The 17371-nt window shown below is 37.5% G+C and overlaps 1 protein-coding gene across 39 annotated transcripts in view; it reads left to right on the forward strand.

The window, feature by feature from the left end:
• The window catches only part of DENND4C (DENN domain containing 4C), a 143769-nt gene that overhangs the window by 87456 nt on the left and 38942 nt on the right, over window positions 1-17371 (forward strand). For 32 of the 39 annotated variants that reach the window (NR_169842.1, NR_169852.1, NR_169854.1 and 29 more), the window contains 6 exons: window positions 6394-6539; window positions 7971-8006; window positions 8096-8226; window positions 10062-10194; window positions 14010-14216; window positions 17009-17137. Coding sequence is in view for 25 of the 39 variants with exons in the window: in NM_001386047.1 (NP_001372976.1) it covers window positions 6394-6539; window positions 7971-8006; window positions 8096-8226; window positions 10062-10194; window positions 14010-14216; window positions 17009-17137 (782 nt within the window). In the remaining 14 variants the exon portion in view is untranslated. Of the gene's footprint in view, window positions 1-6393; window positions 6540-7970; window positions 8007-8095; window positions 8227-10061; window positions 10195-14009; window positions 14217-16582; window positions 16701-17008; window positions 17138-17371 lie in introns of all 39 variants that reach the window. The other 7 variants (NM_001386037.1, NM_001386041.1, NM_001386046.1 and 4 more) reach the window with 4 other exon arrangements.

Consider the following 17371-nt stretch of genomic DNA (forward strand, 5'->3'; position numbering starts at 1 on the left):
TCAAATCTGAGTTAGAATTTCTACTTTGTTATTTATAAAGTCTTCCTGGAGCTTATTAAAGTTTTCTCTAATGGGCGCAGTGGCTCACGCCTGTAATCCCAACACTTTGGGAGACTAAGGCAGGCAGATCACCTGAGGTTACGAGTTCGAGACCAGCCTGGCCAACATGGTGAAACCCTGTCTCTACGAAAAATATAAAAATTAGCCAGGTGTGGTGGTGTGTGCCTGTAATCCCAGCTATTCGGGAGGCTAAGGGAGGAGAATCACTTGAACTCGGGAGATGGAGGTTGCAGAGAGCCAAGATCATGCCACTGCACTCCAGCCTGGGCGACAAGAGTGAAACTCCATCTCAAAAAAATTAAAAAATAAAAATAAATAAATAAATAAAGTTTTCTCATTAATAAAATGGGGGTGATACCTACTTCATGGTTGTGAAGATTAAATGAGAAAATATATGTGAAGCAATTGTGCTAGTACAAGTACTTTAAAATATTCATGATAACAGCTATTATCATTCATGGTAATAACAAAATGGAAATAGCCTCAAGAGGAAAAGCACAAGGTCTGCGGATTTGTTTGCTGGGGCTGCCATAACAAAGTACCACAGACTAGGTGGCTTAAACAACAGAAATTATTTTCTCGTGGTTTTGGAGGTTAAACTGAGATCAAGGTAGTTAGCAGGTTTGATTTCTTCTGAAGCCTCTTCCCTTGGCTTGTAGATAGGTATTTTCTCCATGTGGTCTTCCTTCAGTGTTTGTTTTATGTCCAAATATCCTCTTCTTACAAGGCTACCAGTCTTACTGAACTAGGATCTACCCAATAATCCTCATTTTAGCATAATTACCTCTTTAAAGACCCTGTCTCCAAATAGTTACATTCCGAGGTACTAGGGGCTAGGAACTTAATATATAAATTTTGGGCCAGGTGCAGTGGCTTATGCCTGTAATCCCAGCACTTTGGGAGGCCAAGGCAGGCTGATCACCTGAGGTCAGGAGTTTGAGACCAGTCTGGCCAACATGGCAAAACCCTGTCTCTACTAAAAATACAAAAATTAGCCAGGCATGGTGGTGCATGCCTGTAATCCCAGCTACTCAGGAGGCTGAGGCAGGAGAATCGCTTCATCCCGCGAGGCAGAAGTTGCGGTGAGCCAAGATCACTGTACTCCAGCCTGGGCAACAAGAGTGAAACTTCATCTCAAAAAAAAAAATATATGTATATATATACACGTATATACACATATATGTATATATATATATACACATTTATATATGTATATATATAAACATATGTATAAACATATATAGTATATATAAACATTTGTGTGTATATATATACACATATATACACACATATATATACATATATATACACATATATATATACTTATATATACACACATATATATACACATACATATATATATACATATATATATACACACATATATATATACATATATATATACACACATATATATATACATATATATATATAAATTTTGAGGGGGACACAGTTTCACTCATGACAGCACATTTGGGAAAAAAGATTAGATGGTACAATTTGACCAGAGTGATGAGCTTTAGAGGTGCTGTGGAAGATAAGGCTGAAAATAAGATTAGGCTCAGATTGTGGGTAATTATAAATGCCAGATGAAGAATATGGATTGTACGGAAGTGACATCACTAAAGGAATTTGAAAAGATACTTACTCAGTTTCTAGGCCCTAAAGTTTTATTGTAAACAGTCCAGCATTTGGTCTACTAGGGGACACAGACATTAGACAAGAAAAAAATGTAATACTAACTATCTTAATAAGTGTGTTTCGAAGGAAAGTATTGGTTACAGTGAGAGTGCTAGTTAGGTCAGAGAAATATTCCTTGAAGAAATAACAAGGAATATTAGTGTCCTAAGGTATCCTTTAGTGTGCTACTTTTAAGTTTGGGCCCAAAAAAAGCAATAGGAATTAACTAGGGATTTTGTATATGTGATTTTGGCTTAATTTATCCTTATGTTGTTATTTACCATTTCTTCTGCCACTTGTATTCCTGTAAACTTGTGGTAGGTTCAAGAGCTGCAGTGTCCGGTAGAAATATAACGTAAGCCACATATAAAATTTTAAATTATTTTAGTAGCCACAATAAAAAAGTAAAAAATAGGGGGAAAATAGTAGCATTTCAGCATGTAGTCAGATTTTTAAAATCATTGATGAAATCTTTTACTTTTTTCACAAACATCTTTTTTTTTTTTTAAAGACAGAGTCTTTGCTGTGTTGCCCAGGTGGAATGTAGTGGTGCAGTCTTGGCTCACTGCAACCTCTGCCTCCCAGGCTCAAGTGATTCTCCCGCCTCAGCCTCCCTAATAGCTGGGATTACAGGCGCGCACCACCATGCCTGGCTAATTTTTGTATTTTAAGTGGAGATGAGGTTTAGCCATGTTGGCCAGACTGGTCTCGAACTCCTGACCTCAGGTGATCTGCCTGCCTCGGCCTTCCAAAATGCTGGGATTACAGGCGTGAGCCACTGCGCTCGGCCCACATCTTTGAATTCTGGCATGTATTTTTTAGTTAGTGTGTCTTAATTTGGGTCAGTTACATTTCAAGTGCTAAATTGCCATATGAAGGTAGTGGTTACTGAATTAAACAGTGCAGATCTAGGGGCTTGGTTAAATTCAGGTTTAATTCTCTTGGCAAGAAGTGCCAAAATACGTGGTGCTCACTTCTTCCTATTGCATCATCTTATGAGGCACATACATGTCTGGCTGTCCTACTTTTAGTGTTCCTAATAGGTTTAAAGTGTTGTTACCCTCACTCATTCATTGTAGTTCACCCATCAGCCTTTGACTTACTTGGTCTAGCAGCCTTTGCTGATCATTGCCTGGATCCACTAGAAGGAAAGAAAGCCTTTCATTATAACTTGTGGAGAATAATTTATTTCTATTTTATTTAAGCTTTTCTCTACTAATTAGTATCTAAAAGGGATGGCAGTCAGGACCACAGCATCAAAGAAAGAAAGGCTGCAGAGAAAACCATGTTTGAAATGGTGGCATTAACCAGGTTATGCAGGATCTTTTAGGATTAGTGCTGGTTTCAGTTTTTATCCTAAGAGTAATTGGAAGCCTGTAAAGGATATTTCATTAGGTAATAGGATCAGATTTGCATTTTTTGAAAAGTCACTCTTTGAAATGTTAAAAAGAAGAATCTCCTTGGCTTCCATACAGAGATTGCACTGGAGACATTGAAGCATGGATCTACTAATTAGGAAGTTGTCACATTGGTTCTAGGGATTATTAGAGGTGACCTGGATTAATTGATGATAGTGTGAATAGAAGAGTGATTTTTTTAGGAATTAGATTGAGTAGAACCTGGTGATTGAATATGGAATGTAAGGTAGAGTGGGAGATATCAAGAGCACCTTTGAGGTTTTTGCCTTTAACAACCAAGTGAATGGCCATGCCCTTTATAAGAAGTAAAACAACAGAAAAAAGGGAAGGAGCAGATCGAAGGTTTTTTTTTTTGTTTTGTTTTGTTTTGTTTTTGTTTTTGTTTTTTAGATGGAAAAAAGAGACTTGAGTATGCTGATGAGAAATAGCTAATAGAGGCCAGACGCAGTGGCTCACGCCTGTAATCCCAGCATTTTGGGAGGCTGAGGCAGGTGGATCACTTGAGGTCAGGAGTTTGAGATCAGCCTGGCAAACATGGCGAAACCCTGTCTCTACTAAAAATACAAAAATTAGCGCATGCCTGTAGTCCCAGCTACTCAGGAGGCTGAGGCAGGAGAATCACTCGAACCTGGGAGGTGGAGGTTGTAGTGAGCCGAGATCACGCCACTGAACGCCAGCCTGGGTAATAGAGTGAGACTCCATCTCAAAAAAAAAAAAAAAAAAAGAGAAATAGCTAATAGAGAGGGAGATTTATCCTGAGAACACTGGAAGGGGCTGGAATCCTGAAGTCATGTGATGGTTTGTCCTTAGATAGGAGGAGGGACATATCCACTGTAAAAAGGCAGAAGGAATAAAGGATAGCTGTTAAAGAGTCATAAATTATGTAGTGAGATAGTGTACATAGTTTCTATTTAATGATCTGCATTTTCATTGCACTGAAGTATGCTCATTTCGGGGTGCGGAGGGGGCACAAAAAACATGAAGGGAGAGCGCATACAAATTGGAAATAGTTGTGAAAACATGTGAAGAGGAAAATTAAATTGATTCCAGAAATGTAGTAGGGTTGTTGGTGAGGGATGAAGGTATAAGTGCTTCTGATCTGCCTAGTTGTGGAACTTTTTTTCCCCTTAACTTGTGCTCAGCCACCCTAATGCAGATCCAGAGAAGGCAAGTAGTACATTCCTCCAGAGCTGGGTTATGCTAGGTAGGTTTAACCAAAAAGACAAAAGAGCAGAGGGGTTGAGAGTATTGACAAAACAGTAATTGAAATGATGGATATAGCATGGAATCAGTATTGGACGGAGAAAGAAGTGAAGATGGGAGGATGTACATAGAAGTAAAAGGGCCAGTGGAGGCCAGGCGCGGTGGCTCAGGCCTGTAATCCCCGCACTTTCGGAGGCCGAGGTGGGCGGATCACGAGGTCAGGAGATGGAGACCATCCTGGCTAACACAGTGAAAAATTAGCCAGGCGTGGTGGCGGGCGCCTGTAGTCCCAGCTTCTCAGGAGGCTGAGGCAGGAGAATGGCATGAACCCGGGAGGCAGAGCTTGCAGTGAGCCAAGATTGACTGCACTCCAGCCTGGGCAATACAGTGAGACTTCATCTCAAAAAAAAAAAAAAAAAAAATAAGGGGGCCAGTGGATTGGAGATTTCCATGAGCCTTCCCTCTCTGCTCCCTGCACAAAAAACCCAAAAAACCCTAAAACACTTAGTAGAAATACTTAATTAAGGAGACCAGATAGGCAGAGCTAATGGGCTGGGAGTGATGTGAAAAAGAGATTTGAGAGGCAATGTTGTTTTGAATGCTGGCAAGGAAAGTCAAGGGACTGTGACTGTGTGTTGAAGTTGGTGATTGAGGTAGGATGGAGCATAGGATCACTGAAAATCAAGGAATGAAGGCTGGGCATGATGGCTCATGCCTGTAATTCTAGCACTTTGGGAGGCTGAGATGGGAGGATCACTTGAGGCCAGGAATTCGAGACCAGCCTTGTCAACATAGCAAGACACCCATCTCTTAAAAGAAAAGAGGCTAGGTGCAGTGGCTCACGCCTGTAATCCCAGAACTTTGGGAGGCCAAGGCGGGCTGATCACCTGAGGTCCGTTCAAGACCAGCCTGGCCAACATGGTGAAACCGTCTCTACTAAAAATACAAAAATTAGCCAGTCGTGGTGATGGGCACCTGTAATCCCAGCTACTCAGGAGGCTGAGGCAGGAGAATCACTTAAACCTGGGAGGCAGAGGTTGCAGTGAGCCAAGATCACATTACTGCACTCCAGCCTGGGCGACAGAGCTAGACTCTGTCTGGAAAAAAAAAAAAAAAGGAATGAAGAAGAATCTAAAGTGTTTTCATGGTTTGTGCTTCTGGGTGTGGAAGAATGATGGTGGTAGGAATTAGAAAGGAGGAGACCTTGAATCAGATGCCTTGGTCTTCAGTGAATGAAGGAGTGTCCCTGAAATCAATAGATGTCTACGATTAATAGAGGAAATTGTGGAATAGTCAGATGCTTGAAACTTTAATGAGCAGAAATTTTAAAAACACAATACAGAAATAATGGTCTTGCAACATTAAAGAGGAAGGACATTGACTCTTTGGAAATTGACCATGGACTCAAGAGTATGCAGAGTATCAGAGAAATTTCTACTTAAAAGTTGTAGAGCTGGAGGTTCCTTATAGGGGATTTAGATTTCAGTGAAGAGTTTGATAGAAGTATTTTTCGTGGTTTAATTAGGCAGAAGGAGCTATATATGCAGTTACCACAGGTTGAGCTTCCCTAATCTAAAAATCCAAAACCTGAGATGCTGCAGAATCTGAAACTTTCTGAGGGCTGACATTATGCCACAAGTGGAAAATTCTACACGTAAGTACTTAACACACACTTTGTTTCATGCACAAGATCATTGAAAATATTGTATAACATTCCCTTCAGACTGTGTGTATAATGTATATGTGAAACATAAATGAATTTCCTGTTTACTTGGGTCTCATCCCCAAGATATGTGATTGTGCACATGCAAATATTTCAAAATCTTAAAAAAAAAAATCCGAAATCTGAAACACTTTTGGTCCCAAGCATTTCAGATAAGAGATACTCAACCTATAGAAGCTTCTTTTTAAATATGGATATATATATGTATATATAAAGAGAATGTAATATAGATAAGTACAAGTTTAATGTTTCCTATAATATCGAATTCCAGTTTAAAATTTGAATTTAATTATATTTTGTTTTCCTCAGGATTTTTAAAAAGTCGAGATCGTGCCTATGCAAAATTCTATACCCTTTTATCCAAAACACAGATTTTTATTCGTTTCATTGAAGAATGCAGTTTTGTAAGTGATAAAGATACTGGATTAGCATTTTTTGATGACTGCATAGAAAAGGTAAAAGTTTGTACTTATACTAGTGTTTAGAAAAAAAAGTTTGCCTTACCTGTGTAATTATCATTGTTATTGTTAGTCTAGAGTGATATAAGGAAAACAGAGTAGGGTTGTGTATGTGTGTGTATGTGTTACCGATTCTGGGCTGAATATATGAATAAAATTCTTTGTGGTTTCAAGTTTCTACCACATATAGCCAATTTTTCTATTCTTTATTCATTGATCCATTGATTGAAACAGCATCTCATTCTGTTACCCAGGCTAGGGTGCAGTGGCATGATCATAGCTCATTGCAACTTTGAACTTCTTGCCTGAAGTGATTTTACCACCTTAGCCTTCTGAGTAGCTGGGACTACAGGCATGTGCTACGCCCAGCTAGTTTTTTTAATTTTTGGTAGAGATGAGGTCTCACTGTATTGCCCAGGCTGGTCTCAAACTCCTGGGCTCAAGTGATCCTCCCGCCTTGGCCTCCCAAATCCTTGGGATTGCAGGATGAGCCGCCATGCCCAGCCAGTAAATTTTCTCTTTAAATCTCACTTTCGTTTTACAACTATTGAGTTGTAAAACTAAGAACATTTTCTTGAGCCTTGTGAGTTTATATTTTTTTAATTTAAATGAATAAGATTTAGTTTAAGATTTAGGTTTTTTAATTAAAAAATGTTTAGTTTTATGGGTAATAGAAGTTCTATGTTCTTTTGTTTTAATGTCTTTCCAGATTCTTTTGCCTAATATGTTTCTTTTGTTCTAATGGAGGGTGGAAATACGTTAAATTTTAAAGCTTTACCCACCCATCCTAAGGAAGTTAAAATTGATTCTTGACTTAGTTATAATTTTTCCTAACTTTTAATATAATTCTTATTTTTGCTAAGTAGATCTTGGGGCCAATTGTTTATGCAAACTGTATATTATATAACATTTGAGATTGTATCCAAAAAAAGTTGAATATTATGACATTAATTTTTATGGCCCCCTCATGATTCATATGCCTTAGAAGATTTAAATAATTTTCTCCTATCAGTGTGATCCAAAATTCCAGGGATATAATTAAAACTATTCAACATTTTTGTTTATTTACAAAATTGATATTCCAGTATCTTCCAGTTATATGAGAAGTTTAATGTCAATCACTAATAAAGGGGCTTAATAATAATGAAATTTTTTATTTGAGAAGCCAGATAACCTTGTGATTGGTCATCTTTTGTCTTAAGGTTTACAAAACAACTAATCAAAATAGTTTTCTATCCTAATAGCCACAAGTAAAAAATTATGCTTTAGCCTAAGAGTATGTATTCAGCCTAAAAATATACTGTGCATGTTTTGTATCAGCTGGTACTGAAAAGGGGTAGTTTTTTTCTAAATCAGAATGTAAGATAAAAATGTCTATTAAATTCATAGTGGACATTTTCATTAAGAATCTGTTTTCTTTTTTTCTAGTTGTTTCCTGATAAAGGCACAGAGAAAACAGATAAGGTATGTTTTTCTTAGATTTTAAGGGTTGAAATTTCAGAATTAGATCTTGTTTGTATGCAAATTAATTGGGGAAAAATAATGATTTTCAGGTTGATTTTGATTCAGCAGAAGATACCAGATTGATAGAACTAGATGATTCACAGAAAAGTGAGCATACTGTATTTATAATGCCGCCAGAGCCACCTCCTGATGATGGAAAGGACCTGTCACCAAAGTACAGGTAGTAGGAAGTTTTAAAAGAGCTTAATGGCACAGCCTATCAGTTTCTTTTAATTTTTATTAGTAGATATGTATATTAGTCTTTTGTGAAACTCATTTTCAGTATTAGTTCAGTGAACTAATGTAGATAAATATTTTATGGAAATGCCACTAGGTGTTATAATTTAAGAATTGGATGGTATTGTCAGATGTTGATCATTGTTTACCTTAGTGTTTGTATTTTAATCTTTAAAAGTTTCAATTCTGAAGAAGAAAAATGATACTTTTATGAGGCTCCCTGCTCCCTTTGGGAGTTTCATTTTGAAACAAAGACTGTGAAATTCTTATGAATTAGTAATTTACCAAGAAAACTTAAGGTAGAGGGCCAGGAATTTATTCTTTATTAAGATAAAGGATAGGATTTGGATGTGACTCTTTTAAGAAATTAGAATGGATTTTGTAGTTTTTTTATTGCTATAAATTTAATAAACTTAGAAAATCAAACCAAAATGGAAAACTAATACATCATTCTAGCACCAATACTTGTGTCTCTTAACAATTGTAGGTATGTATGTATCATGTGGATGTGTGTGTGTATGTATTGCATGTATGAGTTCATCAGGTAGATTCTCTTTGTAATCTATGTTTGCCTTTAGTGGTCTGAACATTTTCCCATGCCATTAAATATTTTTGTGCCTTATCATTTGTAATGACCACATTGTATGCATTTATTATGATTTATTTAACTAGCCTCATGGATTTGTTTGTAGTTCTTTGCTATCTATATCTTTGTTATTTTCTTAGGCTGCATTTCTAAAAGAATTTCTAAAATAGAAAGTAAAGTAAGTACATCCCAAAATAGAGAATTAATGTATAATATCAAGAGGACTGGATCAGAATGAGGAATGTATCTGGGATTGAATGGCTTGATTAAATACTATTTTGATTTCATGTTAACTATAGAATTCTTTTCTGCTTTGGCTTAACTACAAGAAATTGGAATCCAGATATTGACAAACAAGATAAAATCAAATATGGAAAGGCGCTATATTCTGGAAGAAAATTGGCCAAAAGAAATAAGTAGACAATTTCCAAGAAATCCAAAGTCAATAATATAAAAATATGTTATGGTTTTTTGCATTCAAAGAAATGCAAACCAAAATGATGAATAGAAACCTTTGAGATTGAGAATAGGTTATGCTAGTAGTTAGAATGTATGTTTAAGTATAATCTTTTTTGAAATAATTTGATATTAATTATAATAATTTTAATTCTTTTGATAAACATGGACCTAGCAAATTCTATTATTGGGTATTTGTCCTATGAAATTAAGCAAAGGTATTCACAAAGATATACATATGAAAATATTTAATTGGAGAAATATAGAAACAGCCAACAACCTAATAATGTCCAGCAGTGAAAAACTGCTTAAATTGTGGTACATCCTTAAAATAAAAATTTTATGGATTTTTTTTATTTTAAATACCTATGCAAGGTAATTTTATGAAGAAAAACATAAAATTATGAAGTATACTAAAATTTTTTTAAACATAAATTATTGAATACATGGATTATCTTGAAAGAGTTATTTCTCCCTTTAAGTAAGATATCAGAGTTTTCTGTGTTTTAGAGATTGATTGAAAATAACAAATAGGGTGGGGAAGAGACAAAATTTTCATGAAGGTAGTCTCTGTATGTTATATCATTTAAAAATTTTGAAAAAGTATTTTTTCTATATAAGCATTTAAAATAATGTTGGATACTATTTGAAGTTTAGAAATATTTGCCTAAACGCTGGAATAATATGAAGAGTTGGTGTGTTTTAAATCAGCAGTTCTATTTTTTTTTTTATTTTAGTTACAAATACTTTCCAAGACTGGACCTTAAGCTTTTTGACAGACCGCAGGAGTTGAAACTTTGTTTTAGTAGACACCCTACTGGGAATAGCATTACAAAGAGTCCACCTCTCATGGCTAAGAGAACTAAACAGGTCAGATATTCTTTATCTAATACATGTTCATTTAAGATGTAAAATATGTATATGTGATATGCAGCTCATAGTTTAGAATGATCACCCACAACAACCATTTGAAGACTCACTTTGGTTGTTATTGAATTTAACTAGATTTCTTGCAAGCCTACTTAAAATATCAAGTCTGGGCCAAGCATGGTGGCTCACGCCTGTATCCCAGCACTTTCAGAGGCTGAGGTGAGCAGATCACTTGAGGTCAGGAGTTAGAGACCAGCCTGGCCAACATGGTGAAACCCCATCTCCATTAAAAATACAAAAATTAGCTGGGCGTGGTGTCAGGCGCCTGTGATCCCAGCTACTCGGGAGGCTAAGGCAGGAGAATCGCTTGAACCTGGGTGATGCAGGTTGCAGTGAGCTGAGATTGTGCCACTGCACTCCAGCCTGGGTGACAAGAGTGAAACTCCATCTCAAAAAAAGTCTATATATGTGTCTGTCTGTCTGTCTGTCTGTCTGTCTATCTATCTATCTATCTATCTATCTATCTATCTATCTGTCTATCTATCAATCAAGGCTGAAGTTTTTGAATGCTTATATTTATGCTTTAAGATAATCTGTAGGAATTGGCCGGGCGCAGTGGCTCACCCCTGTAATCCCAGCACTTTGGGAGGCCGAGGCAGGTGGATCACCTGAGGTCAGGAGTTCGAGACCAGCCTGACCAACATGGAGAAACCCCGTCTCTACTAAAAATACAAAATTAGCTGGGTGTGGTGGTTGCATGCCTGTAATCCCAGCTACTGGGGAGGCTGAGACAGGAGAATTGCTTGAACCTGGGAGGCGGAGGTTGTGGTGAGCTAGGATTGAGCCATTGCACTCCAGCCTGGGCAACAAGAGCAAAATTAAGTTTTAGAAAACTTAATTAAAATATAATTCATATACCATACAGCATACCCACTTAAAGTGTATGATTTAGTGGCTTTTAGTATATTTACAGGTTTGTGCAACTACCACCACAATTAATTTTAGAATATTTTCATCAACCCCAAAAGAAAGTTTGCATCCTTTAGCCATTAACCCCAATTCTCAATCCCCAGCAGCCCTAGGCAACCACAAGTCTGTTTTCTGTCTACAAATTTGTCTATTCTGAGCATTTCAAGAGTAGAACTGCATAATATGTATTCTTTTGTGACTGGCATCTTTCATTTAGTGTAACATTTCAGGATTCATCCACGTAGCAGCATATATCAGTAATAATTTTTATTGCTGAATAATATTCCATTGTGTGGATATACCATATTTTATTTGTCTATTCATAGACATGTGGATACTTCCTACTTCTTGGCTATTATGAATATTGCAAATGAACATTTGTGTATAAGTGTTAATATGGATGTATGTTTTTATTTCTTTGGGGTATATATCTAGGAGTAAATTGCTATGTCAGATGGTTACTCTGTGTTCAACCCTTTGAGGCACTTCCAGGCTGTTTTCCAAAGTGGCTGCTCCACTTTACATTCCCACCAGTAGTGTATGAGGGTTCCAGTTTCACAACATATCCTTGTCAATTCTTGTTATTGTTTGTCTTTTTGGTTATAACCATCTAGTGAGTAAGAAGTTGTATTTTAAATTTGCATTTCCCTAATGGCTAATGTAAATATACTTTATTCCAAGTATTACAATCCAAAGGGAGTTAACTTAGGACAACCTAGACATCTTGCTTTACTACTATATGTGATTTAGGTATAAAGAACTAAGCTGTGGTTACGTATGAGTTAAAATTAAACATCCTTTATACATACACTGACATTTTGGGGATATTTAAAATGTGGAAAATTTCACAATGAAAATCTTAGTTCAGGTTTTACTAATTTATGGGATAGTCCCCTAAATCCTAGAGATATCCTGAGGTATTTCCTAATTTCATACAGTTCATATTTCTTTCAATGTTGTCTGAAGAGAATACTAAAGAATTTTTTTTTACTGTTACCAGCTAACAAAAGGCAAATTTCTAAAACGAGAAAATTTTGCTAACTCAGCCTCTAAATCTCATTTATAGCAGAATTTTTTTTTTCAGGCTAACTGGAAAAGAAAAGAACCATAGGATCTTAGAAAAACAAGGGCATGTATTTTTAAATATGTACTGAAGTGTCATGGAGATCGAGCTCAAAAGTAAAATTAATATACCAAGTTGGTTTTTTTTTTTTTTTTTTTTTTTTAAGATGGAGTCTCACTCTGTCATCCAGGCTGGAGTGCAGTGGCACGATTTCGGCTCACTGCAACCTCTGCCTCCCAGGTTCAAGCGATTCTCCTGCCTCAGCCTCCTGAATAGCTGGGATTACAGGCGCCCACCAACACGCCCAACTAATTTTTGTATTTTTAGTAGAGACAGGGCTTTACCATGTTGGCCAGGATGATCTCGATCTCTTGACCTTGTGATCCACCTGCCTCGGCCTCCCAAAGTGCTGGGATTATATACATGAGCTACCATGCCCAGCCCCAAGATTTTTTTATTTAGAACATAGACTAGCAAGGAATCTTCAGTGCAGAGCATAAAATGGCATTCTGATATATGTGATAGGTTCTGTAGTTTCTGGGAATATATATAGTTTGGTAAAGCTCAGCAGATGGCTGGGCACGGCAGCTCACGTCTATAATCCCAGCACTTTGGGAGGCTGAGGTGGGCAGATCACCTGAGGTCAGGAGTTCTAGACCAGTCTGGCCAACATGGTGAAACTCTGTCTCTACTAAAAATCTGCACAAAAAAATTAGCTGGGCATGGTGGTGGGTGCCTGTAATCCCAGCTACTCAGGAGGCTGAGGCAGGAGAATCACTTGAACCCGGGAGGCAGTGGTTGCGGTGAGCTGAGATCACGCCATTGCACTCCAGCCTTGGCGACAAAAGCAAGACTCTGTCTTAAAAAAAAATAACAAAGAAAACACCAAAACTCACCAGATGATTTTGATACCTAATTTTCTCTTCTACCTAAATCTGAATGAAAACCAGAACTAGAAAACATGACTATCAAACTATTAGGAAAGTTTATGTTGACTGCAAAGGAATAGGTCCTTTTTTTTTTTTTTGAGATGGAGTATCGCTCTGTCGCCAGGCTGGAGTGCAGTGGCACAATCTCAGCTCACTGCAACTTCCCACTCCCTGGTTCAAGCAATTCTCCTGCCTCAAACTCCCGAGTAGCTGGGACCACAGGCACATGCCACCATGCGCGGCTAATTTTTGTATTTTTAGTAGAGACTGGGTTTCACCATGTTGGCCAGGCTGGTCTTGATCTCCTGACCTCGTGATCCATCTGCCTTGGCCTCCCAAAGTGCTAGGATTACAGGCATAAGCCACTGCACCTGGCCAGAAACAGGTCTTTTTTAAGGAGTCTGTCAGTGAGGGAGTTAACATAGACTGTAGCTTGGGAAGACAGAGTGGAAATCTTGGCAGGAGATAGCCTAGAGCATCTTAAACTTTAGTGAAGAGAAGAGTGAGAGGAATATCACTTTTTCACCCATCAAAAATGAGTTCCTTCTTTGTAAAAGACATGAGCCATTCTATTACAAAAAGATGAATGATCTTTGCTCTTAATTTCTACTCTGTTAAGAGACACATGCTTGCTAACAAATAGATTTGGTATAGTATGAAGTATTACTGTAAATGAATGTTCAGGGGAACCATTAACACTGATAAGCAGGAAGCCACTCACAAAAGTCAACTTTGAAGTGCTTGATTTTAGGGGGTCAAGTTTTACTTAAATTCTCCTCTCCCTTTTCCTTCTCACTTCTCCCCTCACCCTAATGAATTTTAGTAAATATCATAATATTTTATTCTCTTTCTAGGAAATAAAAACAGCTCATAAATTGGCGAAGAGATGTTATACAAATCCACCACAGTGGGCCAAGTGTCTGTTTAGTCATTGTTACAGTTTATGGTTTATTTGTCTTCCGGCCTATGTTAGAGTTTCTCATCCTAAAGTCAGAGCACTTCAGCAGGCATATGATGTACTTATTAAGATGAGGAAAACAGATGTGGATCCCTTAGATGAGGCAAGTATAACAAATTGACATTGTTTCTAAGGTAAATTTTATTTTTGTACTTCTAATAAAATTTGGGTGTAAGTTGCTTTAAAGTGTGCTCAAGCATTTTCATTAAGCAGGAAAGGTAAAACTATTACTGTTTCATGGAGCTGGTGCATATTACTTGTTTATTTTTTATTTTAATTATTGATTTGTTTTTGTGACAGAGTCTCACTCTGTCACCCAGGCTGGAGTTCAGCAGTGCGTCCTTGGCTCCCTGCAACCTCTGCCTCCCGGGTTCAGACAGTTCTTGTGCCTCCCGAGTAGCTGGAATTACAGGCACATGTTACCATACCTGGCTAATTTTTTTTTTTTTTTTTTTGTATTTTTAATAGAGATGGGGTCTCACCGTGTTGGCCAGGCTGGTCTCAAACTCCTGGCCTCAAGTGATCTGCCTGCCTCAGCTTTCAGTGCTGGGATTACAGGCATGAGCCATCACATCCGGCCATGTTTGTTTATTTTTAAAGAGATGGAGTCTCACTCCTCTCTCGCCCAGGCTGGAGTGCGGTTGTGTGATCATGGCACCTGGCATATGGTTTTTCTGTTTTTGATTTTTTTTTTTTTTTTTTTTAAGGGATGGAGTCTCACTTTGTTTCCCAGGCTGGTCTTGAACTCCTGGCTCTTGAACCCCCACCTTGGCCTCCCAAAGTGCAGGGATTACAGGCATGAGCCACTGTGGCTGGCTTCATTTTATTCTTAATATAACTTTATTGGGGAGCAGATAGGGAATAGGCTTTTAGTAAGTGGCTCTCCACTTAGGACCTGTGTCCTAAGGTGAGTTATATAATCTATTTAAAAATATATTTTTTATTTATATTTAAATATATATATATACTCGTGCCCAAGCTGGAGTGCAGTGGCACTGTCACAGCTCACTGTAGCCTAGAACTTAAGGGCTCAAGTGATTTTCCTGCCTCAGCCTCCTGAGTAGCTGGGACTACAGGTGCACACCACCACGTCTAATTTTTTTAGTTTTATTTTTTGTAGAGATGGGGTCTCGATATGTTACCTGGGCTGGTCTCAAACTCATGGTGTCAAGCCATCCTTCTACTTGGCCTCCCAAAGTGCCAAGATTATAAATATGAGCCACTGCACCTGGCCTATGGAACCTATTTGTGTTTTGGATTATCTATTAGAAAATGTAGCTTTGAACTTCTCAACTTTGGCACTATTGATATTTTGGCCCACACAATTGTTTATTTTAGGGGCCTGTCTTGTACATTGTGTAGGATGTTTAGTAGCATCCCTGGCCTCTACCAACTGTATGCCTCTCTTTCCCTGCACAGATCATGACAATCAAAAATGTTCCCGGAGAGCGAAATTGCTCCTGGAGAACCACTGAGGTAGATAATAATAGTTAGCACCTTCATCATAAGGTTAGTTTGAAGGTTAGTTAAATCAGTTAATATACTTAAAGTGCCTAGTTCATAGTAAGCACTCAGTGAATGATATACTAGACATTTTCATGCATTTTCTCTCTCAAGCCTTAGAAACCATCCTAAGAAGTAGATACTGATATTATCCAGCTAATGGCTGAGGAAACTGAGGCACTTATTTAGCTTTTTCCAATGCTGTTTTTCCCTTTAAAAATTATTTTTGGTGTTAAGATAACTATAAATGATGTTTTGAACTAGATTAGAATTAAAAATGAAAAGTCTTTGCTAATAATGTTACAGTATATTTAACTGTCTTCTCATTCTTTTAAAGACAAATCCTATTTGTTCTGTAGGCATTTTGGAGATACTGTCTTTAATTCCTTTGGCATTGAATGGAAAGCATAGTGATTGGGGAGAGAGAGACTTCAATTATACTTGATTTTATTTATATTTATTTATTTATTTTTTATTTAGAGACAGTTTTACTCTTTTCCTCCAGGCTAGCATGCAGTGGCGCAGTCTTGGCTCACTACAATCTCCGACTCCCGGGTTCCAGCAATTCTACTGCCTCACTCTCCCAAAGTAGCTGGGACTACAAGTGCGTGCCACCACGCCTGGCTAATTTTTGTATATATTTTTTTGTAGAGATGGAGTTTCACTGTGTTGGCCAGGCTGATCTCGAACTCCTGACCTCAGGTGATCTGCCTGCCTGGGCCTCCCAAAATTCTGGGATTACAGGCATGAGCTACTGCTCCCGGCCTCTATCCTTGATTTTAGAAATGAATTACCTCTCAAATTATGAGGAGTAATAGTCTTTCTCTTTGTATAGATTTAGTTACTCAAACAAATGGAACATGGACACATATGTCTTATATGAAATGGTTAATAATGATGATACTTGCATTAATGAATAGGTTTGTTTTTGGGTTTTTTTTTTTTTTTCTTTTTTTTTTGAGACAGAGTCTCACTCTGTTGCCCAGGCTGGAGTGCAGTGGCGTGATCTGGGCTCATTACAACCTCTACCTCCTGGCTTCAAGCGATTCTCGTGCCTCAGCTTCCCAAGTAGCTGGGATTACAGGTATGCACCACCATGCCCATCTAATTTTTGTACTGTTAGTAGAGATGGGGTTTCACCATGTTGGCCAGGTTGGTCTCGAACTCCTGACCTCAGGTGATCCACCCGTCTCAGCCTCCCTAAGTGCTGTGAGGCGTGAGCCACTGTGCCCAGCCTGAATAGGTCTTAAAAATAATTTGCTAAGATGCTCAAAGCAGAACAAAGGAGAAAATACTGCTTAATAACTTCATGGAAAGAATTCAGTAAAATCTCTACAATTCACAGATAGATTAGTATACTAATTACTGACACTGATTTTTTTTTTTTGTTAGGTGTGCTATCGAGTAGTGATGCAGCTTTGTGGACTTTGGGGTCATCCTGTTTTAGCAGTGAGAGTCTTATTTGAAATGAAAACTGCTAGGATAAAGCCTAATGCTATTACTTATGGTTATTATAATAAGGTAAGTAGGATCGACATTAGGCAAGATGTGGTGTTTATTAAGAATGATTATTTTGTATACCTTTAGTTATTCATGAAACTCCTATTAAAGGAAGTTTTGGGATATAATTTTTTAATAATTTTTATAATTATTAAAAATTGACAAAAAGTATATATATTTATCATGTACAATATGATGTTTTGAGATATGTATATTGTGGAATGGCTCAATCGAGCTATTAAATAATTAACATAT

This window comes from Homo sapiens, chromosome 9, assembly GCF_000001405.40.
Source record: "Homo sapiens chromosome 9, GRCh38.p14 Primary Assembly".
Taxonomy (NCBI): Eukaryota; Metazoa; Chordata; class Mammalia; order Primates; family Hominidae; genus Homo; species Homo sapiens.